The sequence below is a fragment of the Homo sapiens genome, chromosome 8 (assembly GCF_000001405.40).
Source record: "Homo sapiens chromosome 8, GRCh38.p14 Primary Assembly".
NCBI lineage: Eukaryota > Metazoa > Chordata > Mammalia > Primates > Hominidae > Homo > Homo sapiens.
Window position 1 is genome coordinate 35,667,820 of NC_000008.11, and position 19,210 is coordinate 35,687,029.

The following is a 19,210-nucleotide window of genomic DNA, read 5'->3' on the forward strand; positions in this document are numbered from 1 at the left end:
TGAGTAAATGTGCCATAATTGATTTAATCGATTGAAGAACATTTGGTTTGTTTCTAATTTCTTCACTACTATAAACAAAGTTGTGATTAAAGTTATTCTTAGCACATATCTCTGGATCTTTTACTCATGATTATTCTACTGGAGTCAGTGGAATTTTACATTAAATGATAGAAACATTTTCAGTTTTGATAAAAGTTGTTAAGATTGTTCTACACAAGGAATGTACCAATTTCGATTCATCAAAAGTGAATAGAAACTTCTGTTTCTATACTTCGGCAAACCTTAGATTCAATATTTGCCATGGCAACAAGTAATATCTCATTTTCATATTCATTATTGGTAAGGATGAATGACTTTTCATAGGTAAGTTCTTCATTTGTATTTTTCCTCCTTTATATGATCTATTCAAGTACTTAGATCATCTTTCTGTTGGAATTTTATTTCCTATTGATTTTTGGGTGCTTTTTATATATTACAGACCAGGCAGTACATACTGGTTCAACATACTGACCATTATTGCTCTTATTGAATGCAGAATATATTTAATATCATCCTTTATGTTGGTATAACGACACTTTGTCATGCTGCAAACATTTTTTAAACTTTTTTTCCATATTTACCATTTTTGCTATATAGAACTTTTAATAGTCAGTCTTTATGGCTTCTCGTTTTCATACCATGCAGTAAATCCTTCCTCATCCTAATATTATAAGAATATTTACCCATGCTTTCTTATGGTACTTTTGTGGTTGCACTTATTATATTTTAATATTTTATGTGTCTGGGGTTTGTTTTGCAGTTGTGAGTGAGTTAGAGATGCCACTTTATTTTTCAAGAGGACAGTTGACTCTGGAGAAGTTTTAGTGAATATTGAGAAAAGTTAACAGAGTAGGAAAGTATAGTTTATTGTTATAATTATTTGCATTAAAAATAACAAAGACGAGTGGAATCCTTTAAACTGATTTTAATTAACACACTGTGGAAGGAGCTTCTTGTTGAAATGGAGCCTGGCACCTTATCCAGACTCACTTTTTACTACAGTGATAATTTTCAGTACTTAAAATGGTTTTTTTTCTTGGTTTTCATGATTCATGAATTTCTGATTTGTCTGTTACCTTATGATCAGCATACTTCTGCATCTTCCTCTTCCCTTTCTTGATCTTGAAGTGCTTCTTTTCTTCAGTGGTGTGTCCTAACCCACACCCCCTCCACTCCCACTTCTTTCCATTTTACACTTTTTGCATGATTTCAATCTGTCTATAGTTTCTGATAGAATGTATGCTGAAGGCTTGAATAAATATGTTCAAAAAGTAGTTGAGTAAGTCTGGAGCTCATGACTTATCTGTGTTGAAGATATTTATTTCAATGCCTTATGTGCATTTCAAACTTAACTATATGCATCACTGAATTAATTATTCACATCCTTAGCTTATTTTTCTATGGCCATGTTTAGTTTGATCTTTCTTGTTCTCTCTTTTTCTCTTTCTTCATTTCAATCTATTGATTTTCAGGGTGCTCTTTGTGTATTAGGGACCAAGCCAATAGTCAGTACCTAACAGTGCAGCATGCAATAATGACCTTTTTACCTGGTATTCCTATATCACTTGTCTAAGTCAGAAATATGGGTGCCAAATTTTGATGCCCGTCTCCTTAAATCTAATAGCAAGTCGGTTGCAAATTTCTATCCATCCTATTTTACCCCCTAATTCCTTTACAAGATTCTTTACTGTATACACATTATAAACCTTCCCTTCAAGCCACTGTAATTTCTCCCTGCCATTGTTACAGTGTCCCAATGACCTCTCTGTTGCCAGCTGTGCCTGCCCCTCCCCATCCCACGTGTTCTATACATTATATCAAAAGTGATCTTTTAAATGTAATATTATTATCACCAGCTCTTTAAATGTTTTCAGTGAATCTCTATTTCTCAGATGATAAGTTTCAAATATTTTAATGTCAAACAGGTAAGGAAATCATCCGTCCCTTATTTATGCAGAAAAAAAAATCCAAGTCCAGTTTGACATGTTGAGCTGAAAGTACCTTTGAGGTACACAAAAGTAGACACTGAGTAGTAAGTCTCTGAGTACCAGAGTCTGTAGCACAAGAGGGTAAATGAACTGAAGATGTCAATCTGGGAATGTTCAGTGTATGACCATGAATGACATGAGTCTGGATATGATCATGTGGGGAGGTGTTTTGCAGTAAGACGTGGAACAGGGCCTAAACCTGAGACTTGAAGAAATACAACACTGAATGTTTCAATAGAGAAGGAGTGGCCAGAGTGGGAGGAGGAAAGAATATATGGTATTATAAAAACAGGTGAAAGAACAAATTCAAGAACAGCCATCATTACCCTTAACAGTCAAATAAGAATACAGATCAATGTGCACTGGATGTAATAGCTTGAAAATCCTTAATGACCTTAGCAAGAGCCACTTCGGTGATTTGATAGAATGGATATGATGATAAGGGGTAAATATTTGGTAAATAATTCAACATACATTGGCCATGAAGGGAAAAGAGGGATTTTGTTTACCTATTTTTTAAAGATGGCATAATTTTGATTCTACTTTGAAGACACATGTACATGTATGTTTATTGCAGCACTATTGACAATAGCGAAGACATGGAACCAACCCAAATGCCCATCAGTGATAGACTGCATAAAGAAAATGTGGTGCATATATACCATGCAATGCCATGCAGCCATAAAAAGAAATGAGATCATGTCCTTTGCAGGGACATGGATGGAGCTGGAAGACATTATCCTCAGCAAACTAACACAGGAACAGAAAACCAAACACTGCATGTTCTCACTTATAAGTGGGAGTTGAACAATGAGAACACATGGACACAGGGAGGGGATCAACACATACTGGGGCTTGTTGGGGGATGTGAGGGCAAGGGGAGGGAGAGCATTAGGACAAATACCTAATGCATGTGGGCCATAAAACCTTGATGACAGGTTGATAGGTGTAGGAAATCACCATGGCACATGTATACCTATGTGACAAAGCTGCACATTCTGCACATGTATCCTGGAACTTAAAATAAAAAGATGGCAGAATTTTGAATATGTTGGCATATTTAAGTTCTTTGATGTTCAGTTATTTTTAGATGATAAAAACATAGTTAACGATGTCTAACTCACCAAGTGGTTCAAGATGAGAAATAACCTAGAATATTATCTGACACATCTAATACATATTGGACCATCAATATGTATAAAATGTGAGTCTCCCTTCTGTCCCTTTTCTTCTCCTCCCCTTTTCCTTGCCCCACCTCCACTAAGTCGGCCATCCTTCATAATAGTAAAACCATTGTGCTTAGTTACAATGGAAATGCGTTTTTGTCTGTCTTATTAATCCGTGATCTCTTGAGTGTCTCTCTTATATTTGTTTCCTTAATTGCTAGGCATATTCTAATATAAATGTATAATCTCAGCTCATTAAATGGAATTGCATTTTCAGCTCTACAATTTGGATACCAAATCTGTTGACTCCTTTTCAAAATATGTTGACTTGACTTTGTTCTTTCCAGGTTGGCAATGGTTAACAAAGCAACAGGTTACATTTATAATGGGAAGCCAAATGAAAACAAATAATATGAACAGCAACATGTCTACCTTTGTATTGTAATAAAATAGCAGTTGATTTCTGCATAAAGAACTTTTGTTTGGAGCAGGTAATGACAAGTTTAGTCACAGCTTTATTCCTAATTAGTATTTTGGAGAGAGCACAAGAGGCGATGTGAATTCCTGTCTAAAATTTAAAAGCACTATCTGAACCACTGATCTAGAAAATAATCCATACAAGACTTTAGAGTTTGAATTTGGTTGTTTTGCAGTTGTTTTATTATATTAAGCATGATTTTCAAAATGTTTTTCTTCCTTCATGGTGACTTTGTGTCTGTCAGCTGAGGGGAAACTTGGATAGAGTGTCTAGTAATCAAAGGAATAGAAGATGAATAAGTGTAGAGTCTTTTTGGTTTTTTTTTCAGGACGATTAACTCAATGGCATCTACTTGGAATACAGATGCACTTTGCTGTTTTAATTTTGATAATGCTGTAAGCTGGTCTCCGATAATTACCTTCTATAATTGGAACAAATTTATAATTTATGCTAATTCATTCTTAGTCACCCAATATGTGGAATCCGAGCTCATCCATATGTGTCCCTGCATTTCCTTTGGATATCATTACATTATTAGCCTTTTACTCACTGACAGAAATATTTTTATTCTTTGTAGACTTGATTTTTCCAGTGGTACATGTCCATGTATGTATGATACGTGTCTGTGTATCATTAATTGTATGTAACTCAGGCATCCGCTTTTAACACCCATTTATGTATGAACATTTGGAATCTTTAATGGTTTTGTAAGATGTTTTCTCAGCACTTGAAGATATATTACATGGTAACAGGAACAAGAAATGAAAACATAATTAATATTCTCACATCACCACTTTAAAACATTATTTACATACCTCAGATAATGGAGGGAGGGGGTAAATGTGAATACAGAAGCAGTTTTCATTGCCTTTAAAAGCCAGCTCCTTATAATCTATCTTAGAGAGGTCTGCCCAGCCAAAAATAATCCTTTAAGATGAAAGGGCACATCACACTATGTTTTAGAGCACTCTGGATATCAAGCTTTGGCAGCAGCTTCTAGGTGATGCTTCACCAGAGATTCAAAAGCAGATTGTTTCCCTCTTTGCAGATGGGAAAAAGCAAAAGTAGAAGTAACAAAGAGCAAGATCTGTCCCACTATGGAAAACACAGCTGAAAAGCAAATGGCAGCATGTAACCTCCCTTACAAGCTGTCTTTTGATTACATCTCTCTCCCCATTCTTATATTTATGTTTCTTCTGTTTAATGTTCTTTTCCTCTGATCATCATTCTGCAAACTCTTTACATTAAACATGTTTCATTCTTCACTCATGACAGTGTTACAGTTTCAGTAAACAGTGGATGAGGATGTTCGCTTTCCCAGAGACCATTTACTTGTCATAATGAATTTTAAAAAAAAATAGTATGAGACTGCACCTGACTTTCACAACTGAAGCGGGGAAAGTAAAGGACAACACTATCTGACAAGAGACACACAATGTCAGAACGTAAAATTCTGTGATCAGTATTCAGGCTTCTGCAGAGGGACGGATGTCTGTCATTTCATTCAGCATCAGTGAGTGTGATTCTGTCTGTGATCATGAGGTTTTCTATCATTTGCTTGGTTCTGCTGCAATGGCTTCACAATTAAGCTGAATTTCTGCTTCCTTTTGTGATGCATAATCAGATAAGTAGAGCTAAATTGAAGAAACTGCAGTGTAGGTGGCTTTAAAATCAATCTGTAGAGCCTGGAAAGAAAAGCAAGACAAAAGGGGAAACATGATAGTACTGTTATAAATAACTTGAAAGAAATATTATCAAGGAGAGAGGAGAGGACAGGTGACATCTAATCTGAAAGTGGTGAAGCAAGTAATGGCCTGAACTAACATTAGGCAAGAATATGCCCCATTGTGAGCAGAGAAGCATCACTGTGCAATGGTTCAGTCCCTTTGGAGACTTATTAGACAATGCCAAGTCAAATTAGGCAAATATTAAAGAGTAGCCTTTCACATAGTCACTAAGACGCCTAAGAAAATGGCTAATGCCTTGTGGTAGAAAAAATATATATTTGAGGGCTACTAATTCTAGTTCTACCATTTCCCAAGCATATAGCCTTAGGCAAATCATATAATCGGTAAAATGGGAAGAATAAGATTTTCTTTGCCTATCTTGGGGTTGCCGTGGGGATCAAATAAGATAGTGTATTGAATGACAATATGTTCACTTGTGAGTGTAAAGACAATGGCCGACAGCACTGTGGTTTTCTTTGCCTTTTCCTCATGATCACAAGATGGCTGCCATATTGTTAGAATCACATTGGTGTCCAATACAGTCACAAGAACAGGAATACCAGTCCCTTTTCTCAGAAAAGCAAATGCTTTCCTATAAGCTCTCCAGTTGACGTAGATCCAGTCAGTCTTCTTAAACATTTTAGGACATTAGGATATATCGCCACAGCAGGACTTCATGGGTACGTGCTGCACCCATTTCTACACAGTGCCAAAAGCAAAATGAGACCCCAGATAATGTTCAGGGGGCTAGCTTGACTTGGCATGACCTATCCGTGGACAGTTACTGAGCTTGAGTAAGTTTTTGATGTCAAAATAATTCAGGTCACAGTCTGAACATTTGACAGTAATGATATAACTGGAGTGTGTGCATTCAACTGAGAGCTGTCCTTTAAATCACCCACCTGGGAGACAATACCCTTACTCTAACAATGTTGCCATTCCCAAGAAAATTGTTTGCAATTCTTCCTTAGGAGTGATCATAAAAACCTAAAATACATTTTCAAAATTTTCTTTAATGGTGATAAGTTTCTGTATTTCAATGTAATTTTGCAAAGAGCCAACAGTCGTTCCAACCAAATCTAGCAAATGATAGGATAACTGAGTTTAGTGGATAAAAGCAAGACTTAAATTTGGAATCAAATTATGTCTATATATGTTTATGTGTATAAATGTGTGTGAGTGTGTTTGTGTATGTGTGTGTGTATATATGGTTTAGGCAAGGTACTTAACATCTGTGTTTCTTTGTCTATAAAATGGGGGTGATAAAAATGGTATTTACCTCCTAGAGATGCTTTAAGGATTAAATTAACTAACACATGTATAGTGCCTAAAAGAGTATTTGGCACATGGTAAGTGTTCATGAAATGCTAGATATCATTATTAGGCTGGGAAATAATCCATTTGATCAAAACTCACACTATAACCTAAAGCGAATGAGAAATGTATTGGTTAGACCAGAGTCCTGGCATGTGCGAGTCTAAAGGCTTCCTCGTGCTTCCGGGAATCCCATCTTCACCTCTGCCTGGTGCAGGCTGTCCCTGCCTCATGTCCTTGGGTGCTGTCTCAGTTCAGCTGCTCAGCAGCTGGAATGCAGACCTCATCCTTCTCCCCGTTTTCTCACAAAAGCACAATCAATCAATCAGTCTTGCTTTTTGTAAGATGCTAACTTCAAAAAGCTTTCAGTTTATGCAGGGAGTGATCATGTTGTGAACTTCCGTAGCCTTCCAGCTTTTCCCTGGCTCTACCACTTATACATCTCTAATAGACCTGTCTCTCTACCCTGTCCCACTAGATATGGTTGTCTTCCCAAGACGTTTTTTACTATAGTGTGAAAAAAATATTTATTACTCTAATATAATTCACAAATCTTAAGTGAATATGTGAAATTCAGTATGAAAAATGTGTAGCCATTATGAAATATTAGTGGCTCCCAGAATATATTGAAGAACAGCTCTCTCAGCAGTCTTACTCTTCTAGGTCATTTCTATGCTCAGCTCTGGGAACTAAAGCAAAGAATAATGGACCCCTCCCTTACCTCTATCCGTAAAATACAGTTTGAAATGTTCTCATATGTGTGCATGTATGTATATTGCACCAACCTCTAAATCTGCATGGACAGCAATTTGGGCTAGCACATTTATTCAGCAGGTGCCATTGAACATCCTTAGATGGGAGATACTTGAGATATTGTTCATGTTCTTAAGAAGCTTGCCGACAAGTAGAGCAGAAAGAAAATGATCACAGGCAATGAGATGAATTGAGACACTTTAGAAATCATAAAGCTGAGGTTGCATCTATAATATATATGAACAACTCCATTTGATACTGAGTCTACCAAATCCCAAGAGAGAGGGCTGGAAATGAAGTGTAGGAGCACATGGTCGATGATATCAATTAATGGGCCTGATTTGCATTTTCCGTGGGATATGAGGGTAGATTTTTGGGTTGGTCCAGTCTAGAATTCAAAGGTCAAGGGGCCTGGGGTCCTGCATATGAGGAAAGCTGGATTTTAAAGCAGCTTTCTCCTCTTTCTAGACTAGTCTTTGGGTTTTGTTTTTTCCATTTCTAAAGGATTAATAACATCACTCTCCTTTTCATTCTTTTATAGAACATTAAGAACAAGAACAGAAGCATGAAAATTCTCACATATTGTCTGGTGGAAATAAACATTTAGGTGTAAGGTTTATGTATATACATACTAGATGTCTTTAATAAAAGATCAGAGTAAGTGACATATTATGACACATGCAGACATATTCATATGTTAAGCCAGGTCTCAGGTAAGATAATCTCCCACAATGCATCATTCTATTCCCCTTCCAGTGGAGGCTCCCTCTCCAATCTGTTTACATCATGCTGCCTATTGGTGAGAAAACTAGAAGCTCATCAGTTGCATACCTTCTGTCCCCAGCTAACCAGAATGACTGATCAGGAACCTGCTGTCTGGCATGAAATCTAATTGTCTTTGATGTTCTGCTTTTCCAGATTTGTTTATAAACTGGAAAAAAAATCTACAAATTGCAGACCATCTGTACATAACACTATGCTAATGAATGCTGGCGTTCTGAAAATCCATAAGCTCATTACCTCTAAGTAACTAGTTTCTTTGCATGTTCTGAACTGGGATTATCTATGTGAACCAAATAAGTAGAAACCAGATAAAGAATTGTTCATCCGAGGGGTGAATGCCTCCAACAACCTTCAGGAATGTTAGGCCTCTCTGTCAGAAAGATGACCTGTTAGCAGGAGGTCATGTGCATAAGTGATACAAATGTCTGTTAGCCACAAGGTGGTCAATTTATTGATCCCATAATGCTAATTTGAAAATCTGTATTGCTTTTGTTAAGAGCTTAATTAGGGATTTACAGTGTAGGCAATTTATTGTTAAATAATTTCTGAACTCAGCATACATGCAAACCCTTATCATACCTGCAGAATATTGGATATAGGTTCAAAAGTTATGTGCTTGCCAGTCATTTCCACGAGAAAGCCATGAGAGTGGGCAGTAGCACATATGCACCATAACATTCATGGATGGTTGAGGAAAATGATTTAGTGAAAGGAAATTAAATCCAGTGTAGGGCATTGAGCTCCTCTTTGTGATAACATTCACCAGGGGTCGGAAGTCTGGTGTATTGTGGTTTTTGTGGACGAGGGGGGCAAATCTACATCTCACTCATGAATATGTTTTTTTTTTGGTCCTCATAATAAATTTTGTAATATACGGGCCATCATATAAGAATCAAAAAATATTACATTGAAATAAACATCTCTGGCTTTTCATGAAAAATATAAGATCTGACCACACTGTGCCTGTGTTCTCTCATGGTAATGATAGTCTGACCCTAACTAGTGGCTACACATTTACACAGGTCTTGCGGTCTACGTTTTGCCACGGTCATCACATTCCTATAATTTCTGATGCTAAAGCTAAATACTCTGTAAATTAAAGACCACCATGACACATGAAAAGCAAAAGAGATTATTAAGCAAAAATGAGTTCATTGTCACTTTTCATTGCACTATCATTTTTTAAAAATACCCATGCCTCTGTCTAAAAAGACAGAAAATGCCACATTTTTTAAGAAAAATGAGTGTGAGCTCATTCCTCTGTGGAAACGCAGAACAGTCCCTTGTCTTTAACATGCAAGCAGTGCTCGTGGGGGTCTCGTACCCAGCACCACTTCACTGATTTATGTTACCTCCCTGGCCCCCAGGAACATTGGAGTTTGCAACTGCTGGTGTAGAGAATTTTTTTTTCCTATTTTATTTATTAAACTGTTCTACATTAGGGGCACTTAGCTCATCAAAAATGTTTTAAAGTTTCTCTAAGTGACAAAAGCATAAATCCAAGCACAATTTGTCACTTTTATAAGCCCAGAAAATACCAGACTGATTTCCTCATAAAGATCCTGCCATCAGTTAAATGGATAAACTATTAGGTTATGAATAAAAAAACAGTTCCACAGTTAAGTGTCTACTACTATGTTGATTGTTTATAGACATAATTGGATTGAAGGACCCCAGTCATAACACCATAAACATCAAGTATACCAGCATATATATATATATGCTGATATGCTGGGGTCTGTATATATGTAAAAAGTTATTTGATGCTTGTCATTTCCATGAGAAAGCCATGAGAGTAGGTTTTTATAGGGTGTGTGAGTGTCTGTGTGTGTGTGTGTGTATGTGTGTGTGTATGTATATGTGTGTATATATGTGTGTATGTGTATATATATATACGTGTGTGTATGTGTCTGTGTGTGTGTGTATAGATAGATACACACACCTAGGACACCTTATTTACCTTATCAATAGTTTTCAAACTATAATTTTGGAAGTCCTAGAAGCAGACCATAGTATATGTCTATAGTGCCTATGAGTGATTGGGGGTAGACCGTACAGCAGGGCCAGCTCATATGATAGCACAAGTTGTGCACCAAGCATCTTGAGCATACATCATTTACATTGACAAGGGAGGATGTGAATCATCTCTTCTGGAGTTGTGCAGTGGACCTGGCATGACCAAGTTTATGCATCTTAGGGTCCCTCACATCTGCAGTTGAGATACCTCACTTCTGCATCAGTCATAATACCTTCCCTTTTTTAATCCTCTTTCATTTTGGGTTTCAGATAAGCTTTGAATTGAAGAAACACTCTGCAGCTAAATATAAATTTGAAAATCACTGTGCTACATGATAAATAAAAGAGATTTTTTTTAAGCTAAAGTAATTTGTTTTTAGATTATGAAAGATTTTACCTTGAATTTGCCATAATTAACTATCAGAAAAAAAGAATAATTACCCCAGTTAAGACTTCTATAAACACTGCATTCTCTTCCAATGTTTACGTTAAGCATACATATGTTTATTATTGTTTTTGTTTCATAAATTTATGATAACACTAACCATAATTTTATATATTTACTCTTTCATGTATTATGACCACTTTTTTATGTTTTTACTAGTTGAAACCAGAACATTTAATGTCTACACAATACTAAATCAATTGCTGAGTCCCATTATTTGTCATGTAGCTTTGGCATGCTTTTTCTCTTTCCTCCTTGCATCCTTTCTTTTTTCCTCTTTTTTGTTCTTTTCTCTCTCTTTTTTCTCTTTCTTTCTCTCTTTCTTCTATCAAAAATAGTTTATTGTTGTTAAACTCTCACCCTTAATATTTTCTTTTGGTAAATTCATAAGCCCATAATGACGAGTACAAATGATATAATTATCTTTAAGACTATCAAATAGAACCAGGCACTGTGATTCATGCCAGTAATCCCAGCACTTTAAGAGGCCAAGGTGGATTGCTTGAGCCCAGGAGTTCGAGACCAGCCTGAGAAACATAGTGAAACCCTGTCTCTACAAAAAATAAAAATAAAAATAACCTGGTGTGGTGACATACCTGTAGTCCCAGCTAGTCAGGAGGCTGAGGTGGGAGGATTGCTTCAGCCTGGAAGGTCAAGGCTGTAGTGAGCTATGATCACACTACTGTGTTCCAGCAGTAGTCTTTTGAGACATTGTGTCAAAAAATAAAAAGGAAAAAAGACTAGCAAACAGAGGTAAGCATTAGGAAGAAAAAGCAGGAAGGGGTGGGGTTTACTATTTTTGAAAGGGTTGTTAGGTAAGGCCTCTGTGAAGAAATAACATTTGACCTGAGATTTAAATGCAAAGTGGGATTGAGCCATGGTACCACCTATGGGAAAGTTCTTCAGGGCAGAGGAATCAGTAGGTATGAAGGCTCTGAGGTTGGAACTTGCTTTGAACTTTAGAAAGTTCAAAGGGCATGAAGGAGTACAGCATGGCTAAAGCTCGAGGCTCTGAGGTGGCTAACTCACAGAGGGTGCTAGAACCCCCATAAGGATTTTGTTAGCCTAGAGGTTTCATTCTAAGTAAGATTCAAAGCCACTGAATGATCTCAAGCTAGAAAGTGGCGTGGTCTCATCCCTTTGTAGAAAATCAACTGTAGAGGTCAGAATAGAAGCCACAGACAGACCAGTTGGTGAAGAAACCACTGCCAAAGTCCTAGAAAGAAGATCATGGTAGGACAGTGTCTTAGTTTATTTCTTGTTGCTCATAACAAAATACCTGAAACTGGGTAATTTTCAAGGGAAAGAAATTTATTTCTTACCGTTCTGGAGGCTGAGAAATCCAAGGTCGAGGAGCTATGTCTGGTGAGAGCCTTCTTGCTGGTGGGGACTCCCTGCAGAGTCCAGAGGTGGCACAGGACATGGCATCACATGGCAATGAGGCTGAGCAGGCAAATATTCGAGGTCAGATCTCTCATCTTGTTGTGAAGCCACCAGTTTCCCTTCTATGATAACCCATTAATTCATTAATCCATTCTTTCATTCATTCATGAGGGGAGAGTCCTCATGATCTGATCTCCTCTGTAAGACCCAGCCTTTCAATCCTGTCACAATGGATGTTAAATGTCAACATGAATTTTGGAGGGGACAAATATTCAATCCATAGCATGGTATCAAACAGTAGGTAAAATGTTCTCTGGTCTGCACTCTCAATAAAAAACAAACAAATCACTAAAATAAAAACTCCATGTGTGTTTCAGAGAGAGATTTTAATCTTGGCTATTTTGGTAGGAAACATATTGCTCTAACTTCTAACTTATTAATTTTAGACTTTATTCTTAGTGCTACATAATATTTATTCAATTGTTTAATTGTCATGTGTTTTGTGGATTTTTTTTTATTTCATGTACTATGTACTCATCTTTATGCCAGATTTACTGGAATGGGTTTTTATCATCAACTTAAATGAAAGTTTGAGCGTTCATATTATTTTTACTTATACCATTCAATTATTAACCTTATATCTATCAAATTTATGGCAAATATTTTCCTAGTTTGTTGGCCTCGTTCTTTTGCGCATGATTTTATTTTTCTTTAAGTTTTCAATTTGAAGCCAAGTTTCTACTTGACGGTTGTACCTTTAATTTTCCTCTGAGCCAAGACTCCTTTAGGGCAGCTTTTCTTGATTTCCAGGTGCTAGGACTCCTTTAGTTTCAATCTTCAGGAGCACTGCCCACAGGGCTATCTACTTGGTGTGAATAATTTATTTATGGGTCAGTGCCAGACTTCTCTACTTCCTGACAAACTGTTTGAGGAGAAGCATGAAAGAAGAGGACAGCTGAGCGGGGAACATAGGAGAAGTGCTTGCTAGATGCTACAAATAGCAAGTGTAAGAAATTAATCAGAAAGCAGGCAATTTACCCCTGAATTTCTGACCTAGGAGGAGAGTGGAGGTGGAGCAAAAAAGTTCCCAGACATGCTTTCAGCTGACCAATTTCTTCCTTGCAGTGATATAGGAGTGATGGGAATTTAAAATACCTAATTCTATTGACTTTACAGTAAGTGTTACACCTTAACATTAACTGTAGAGGCAAGAATAGAAGCCACAGACAGACCAGTTAGTTAAGAAGCCACTGCAAAAATCCCAGAAAGATCATGGCAGGGCAGGGTCTTAGTCCATTTCTTGTTGCTCATAACAAAATACCCAAGACTGGGTAATTTTCAAGGGAGAGGAATTTATTTATTATAGTCATTGTCTTGAGACAATGTGACTCTCAACTCTTATATTTTGGTGAGAATGTGGATTTACTTATATTTCTATTTTACCCATTCATTGTAAGATCCAGTGAAAGAAGAGATCATCTTGGTTTTGTTCACCTGGTTTTACCCAGCTCTCAGTACAATCTCTGATACTCAACAGATGTTTAGGTATTTGTCAAATGAACAAATGGATGGCTCTGAAATATGCAATGGTAGTAGTGAATGGAAGATATTGTGTCACAGGCTGGTAGTCAGATGTATTATAAAATTGGTTCCATTGCCCTACTTTGTTAAACAGAGCAGCGCTTTTTGGCTCTGATCATTGTTAGTACCTACACTTCCAGGCTGGTGCCATCAGGAACCCTGGGATTTGGTAGTGAGATTTGCTTTTTTACTTCATTGTTTGGTACCACTCGGCTCTGACAGCTTTATTTTACATTTTACTGTAGTTCTCAGATCTCTTCCTTGTGCTAGTTGGTATCATTTTCTTTCAAATTAACCTCTTCTAAAGTAAGTTTTGGATGGTGATGATTTGGGATATTTAAGCTCTCATTCATGGGGTGGTACTTGGGGTAAGTATGGAAGGATCCTAATATGTTTTCCCCTGGTAAATAAATCCCTTTTCAAAAAGACAAACAAATCATTATTAAACCAAATAATTATAGAAGAGACGACCTTTTTTTGGGGGGAGGGGCGGACGGAGTCTCGCTCTGTCGCCCAGGCTGGAGTGCAGTGGCGCGATCTCAGCTCACTGTAACCTCTGCCTCCCTGGTTCAAGCGATTCTCCTGCCTCAGCCTCCTGAGTATCTGGGATTACAGGCACGTGCCACCACACCCGGCTAATTTTGGTAATTTTAGTAGAGACAGGGTTTCACCATGTTGGTCAGGCTGGTTTCCAATTCCTGACCTCGTGATCTGCCCGCCTCGGCCTCTCAACGTGCTGGGATTACAGGCGTGAGCCACAGCACTTGGCCCAGATGACACGTTTTATTGGTGATAAATTAGCATTCTTTAGACTTAAGCAATGAAATGAAGTATCTTATTCTAAAACCAGCTTTCAGTGAGCTGTGCTTGTGGTGAGCAGAGTATGATGAAATGCCCCTGATGTGTATGCTCCTGTGTGACTTCTCTTTGATGTCATCACGGCCATTGCTTTCTGTGATAAATTTCAGTTTTTATGTGTCCGTTAAATTACTGTGTTTTACCTATGCTGATAACTAGAGCTGAATGGTTGTTGTCAAACAAGAGATGTGTCTAGTACTACCAAGAGGCACTAGAGAGTAGAGATGTTGCTTAGACATGGAAGCAGAGAGTGAATAAGGAAATAACACAGATCAGAGGAAATTGGCATGTGATGAAATAGAGGTGCTCAGGGTGGTATATCTCCACTTGAAGTCAATTGAGGATCCAGGGAGCAGAGGGCTTCCATCTGCGTCTTCCTTTTGTGTTCAAGGAAAGAGAAGTTTGGACCAAGGATAGGACCAAGATAAAACTGGGAAGAAGAAAATAGGTTCTTCAGCATCTAGGAGAAAACACATCCGAAATGGGAGTACCCTGTGCTCAGAGGATGGGGAAGGTGGGCTTCTCCAGAAGAAGGGCTGGGCCTCAACTGTGTCAGCTACCTAACCCAAGGCCTAAATGTCTCTTCGATCACTGGAGGAGTAACGTAAATGATCACCAAAGAAACTTATCTCAAAATCTACAGAACACTGAGCTTTAAATTTAATTTATCTGCTTATGATTGCACAAATCTGTATTACTTTAGCCTTGGTACAATCTCAAACCTTTATCAAAACTTGTTTAAATTCAGGCATCTTGACTTAAAACCTTGTCTAATAATATAATATCCTCTCACACAAAATACAAGTTCTACATTTATATGTTAATTTTCTGAGCTCCACTTTGGACCAATTATTGAAATATCATCATCATCATGAACGTTGTAATGAAATGAAATGGCCTAATTGCAGTCACCTCTTTTCTCTCCTCCACTGCATTTTTAGAAAATGGGTCAAAGTCAATGTAGGATATTTGTGTTCTTTTCCTGCTCCCAACTTATTAGCTTGAGTATCCATTTCCTGAATATAACCAAATTTACCAAATAAAAGGGACAGGATATGGAATAAAGAAACCAATCATTGCTGTTGCTCTATATTTTAGATACATCTCTCTCCCACACCCGAATCTGCTCACTTTTCAATTCCAGAAAAGAGTTCTGATTTTTTTAGTGACTTGTAAACATTCCTTTCTTCCTGTAGGTGGAATGGCTGAAAAATGAAGAGCCCATTGACTCTGAACAAGACGAGAACATTGACACCAGGGCTGACCATAACCTGATCATCAGGCAGGCACGGCTCTCGGACTCAGGAAATTACACCTGCATGGCAGCCAACATCGTGGCTAAGAGGAGAAGCCTGTCGGCCACTGTTGTGGTCTACGGTAAGACCATTCCAAAGGCCAGGAATGGATAGGGAGGGCAGAAAGAGGTAGAGGGATGTGTGTTTTATTAAAACTTTCAATGTCGAGAGCTGCAAAGACCTTGGGGTTCATTCACAGCAGTGCTCTATCCTGCCTCCCTCGTCTGGCAGGCAAAAAACATCACTATTTCTATTAATGTGTTTGCTGTTCCTTCCAATATTGCACTTCCATGTGATAGTCAGTGACATTTCCAATCTCTCTTTTAAAAATAATAAAAAGCTGTTTATTTTCTTCCATTATGTTTATATTTGAAAAGAATTGAGATGGGCAACTTCTGCTTCCCACGCCTCTCAAACCCAACACTCACCCCAGTTTTTCCTAGACCTGCTGTCAGGTAGTCTCTCCCCTGGTATGTGAAATCCTCCAAAAACAAACAATACTATTTGCTGAATATCTCAGGTATTGTATAAAAGAAGTTCCCAGCTATTTAAGTAAAGGCATTCCCTTCCACAATAGAAGAGCCCTGGGATTTATTTTTGAAGCACTTAAAGTCATAGAAATTCAAATGCTGATATTTTCTTCTTATACTCTGGATTTTCAAGTGCTTTAGAGATTTATTGATGAGTTCTTTCTATTTCTTATAATTTCCTTGCAAGGCAAATTCTGTGTCCCTCCTATTTCAGATGAATAGGCTGAGGACTGGATGAGATGACTCCCCCACTGTTGTCTCATAATGGAGCAGCCAGTGGGGGCTGCACAGTCTCTCGGTCCCTGGATGCCTGACTCACAGCACCTGGCACAGTGGCTTGCACATAGTAGGCAATCAGTAAAAACCTCTCTCCTTTTTTTCTCCCCTCCCCATTTTTCTCTCTCAGTGAATGGAGGCTGGTCTTCCTGGACAGAGTGGTCAGCCTGCAATGTTCGCTGTGGTAGAGGATGGCAGAAACGTTCCCGGACCTGCACCAACCCAGCTCCTCTCAATGGTGGGGCCTTTTGTGAGGGAATGTCAGTGCAGAAAATAACCTGCACTTCTCTTTGTCCTGGTGAGATATATGCAGATTCCCTTTTCCCTTCTGATCCACCAACACTATTAAGCTGGTGTGAAACAATCAATGTTACCTTCTTTTCCAAAGTTACCCTCTCCCAAGTTCTTAGAATAGAACATTTATCCAAGGTGCTAATGTAAAGCTCATTGTCATGGCAGCAACATGGGTGAAATACCACGGTGCAATGTTTTGGGGCATATTTTTTAATACTCAGATGACACTGAACATTCATCGTCAATAAGCCAATTGCTATGAAGTCTTGTTATACTGCTAGCATTTGGTTGGGCTAAGCCATCCCCTTCTCTCCTTGGGTTCTCCCATCTTGTGGCCTTTATTTGTATAATAGTTAGCAGGGATTAGATAAGTTGTCTTAAAGCACAAAAGAACGGGTACCAAATGTTTGACTCTTTATCATTAGTTATCAATCAAATAACTTTATCAGTTCTAGCTTTGTATTTATTTATAAGACAATTGATAGAGACTGTATACTGTCACAGCAGTCTATATTTTACATTTGGTCTATGCTTGCCTTTCTTTCTGTAAAAAGAGATACTTCATTTACCAAGTATGGCTTTCATAAATTCCTTTGTCTCTTACTGGCTGTAACCCAATTTATACAACGATAAATAGATGAGATGGAAGATGACTTTCTTCATGAAATGCATATCCTCCCACTGAGAAATAAATTGACCCTGGGTCTCACATGCACTACAGAACATTAACTCCAAGGACACTGGACTAGAGTCTCATGTCTTTATAATAAAATTGCAAATTTAGTTGCAATCGAAGTTAAGGTGGGGCTCTTCCTAGCAGCATATTCTTGGAGTTTCATTTTGGACTTATGTTCAATAAGCATTTATTGAGTGCTTACTATGTGCCAGGTACTGTGCAGGATGCTTTTACATACATAATGTTGTTTACTCCTGTGTTGTGAGTTTTATTATCCCCAGTTGGCAGACATGGTAAAGTGAGGCTAAGTAACTCGCCCAGGATTGCTCAGCGGATAAGTTGGCAGATCCAAGACAAGGACTCAGACATTTTGCTTCAAGTTCAGTATTTTTTTTATAGTACCCTATTCTTGATTAATTGCTTTAGATTTAAAATTGCAGTATCTTAAATAACCCACATAAGCATGGTTGAACTATTCCTAGGAGGTAAAGGGCAATTGCCTCAGACATCTGCCATGATCTCTAGGGTTGCTTTTTAGTGGAATTAAATTCAGTTTGTTCATTTCTACATACAGCAGCAGTCCATGACCCAAGAAATTCTATTTATATAAGTCCTGGTGTCTTGGGGTTTGACTGACCTGTTTTAGTTTAATACTATCAATATATTTGGGTTTAACTTTATATTGTTTAGGGGCTTCTAGGGCTTAAAGATAGTTCATTATACTCTGTTCTAAACTGTCAACCACTAAGAAAGTGGCTGATTGTCAGTGGTTACTGCACACAGTTTATCTGTCCACCTAAGATGCACTTGGGCATGAAAGACTGGGAAAGAATGGGTCATGACAAATTTTTAGCTGACCCAGTGGTGCTGGAAATATGAATGCTTGCCTCAATTTGGTAATTGGTCTCATCCTGAAATAGCAAGAGTATTATACCACTGCTTTTGTAAGCCTGTCTCTTCAGGAAAGAAACCATGGAGAGAAGATAAGTGGATATGTTCTTTTGTTTCTGTTTGGTGGTTATTTCCTTAAAATCCAGCTCTAGAACAACAGCAGTCCTGGGGTGAGTCTCCTGACCGCTACTTGATTCATTCTAACAATGGTTTCTTTTGTTTCCCTTTGAAGTGGATGGGAGCTGGGAAGTGTGGAGCGAATGGTCCGTCTGCAGTCCAGAGTGTGAACATTTGCGGATCCGGGAGTGCACAGCACCACCCCCGAGAAATGGGGGCAAATTCTGTGAAGGTCTAAGCCAGGAATCTGAAAACTGCACAGATGGTCTTTGCATCCTAGGTAACACTTTTGCTTTAACATCTTCAGTGTTTGTTCATAATACCATTTATGCATCTCAAGAAAGTAAGCTACAGCCATTAATGTGGTTAAATAAGTTAGCAGAAAGCCAAGCTGCTAAGGGCAAAAATAAATTAGGTAAAAAGTGCAGAAAAGCAGACAAATGCATTTTTAATAGAGATGGTATAAGTGCATATATTGTATCACTGTGCATTCTGTTGATGTGTATACTTACTAATTTGATAACATTTTAAGAGTAAGAAAAAATAGTTAAGAAAATACTTCAGACTTTTAGAAGCTACCATTTTTAATTTTGGTGAAAT

At 37.9% G+C, this 19,210-nt stretch overlaps 1 protein-coding gene and 1 long non-coding RNA gene across 19 annotated transcripts in view; one reads left to right on the forward strand and one right to left on the reverse strand.

Annotated features, from left to right (window-relative positions):
• UNC5D (unc-5 netrin receptor D) overlaps positions 1 to 19,210 on the forward strand; it is a 561,066-nt gene that overhangs the window by 432,345 nt on the left and 109,511 nt on the right. For 9 of the 18 annotated variants that reach the window (NM_001438417.1, NM_001438418.1, NM_080872.4 and 6 more), the window contains exons 5-7: positions 15,728 to 15,908; positions 16,763 to 16,930; positions 18,726 to 18,890. In NM_001438417.1, the coding sequence (NP_001425346.1) occupies positions 15,728 to 15,908; positions 16,763 to 16,930; positions 18,726 to 18,890 (514 nt within the window). The remainder of the gene's footprint in view (positions 1 to 15,727; positions 15,909 to 16,762; positions 16,931 to 18,725; positions 18,891 to 19,210) is intronic. The other 9 variants (NM_001438424.1, NM_001438425.1, NM_001438426.1 and 6 more) reach the window with 1 other exon arrangement.
• LOC101929550 (uncharacterized) overlaps positions 4,344 to 19,210 on the reverse strand; it is a 38,158-nt gene continuing 23,291 nt past the window's right edge. Inside the window, exons 4-5 of the long non-coding RNA NR_125819.1 lie at positions 12,032 to 12,313; positions 4,344 to 5,356 (exon numbers count right to left, since the gene is read on the reverse strand). This is a non-coding gene — a long non-coding RNA (uncharacterized LOC101929550). The remainder of the gene's footprint in view (positions 5,357 to 12,031; positions 12,314 to 19,210) is intronic.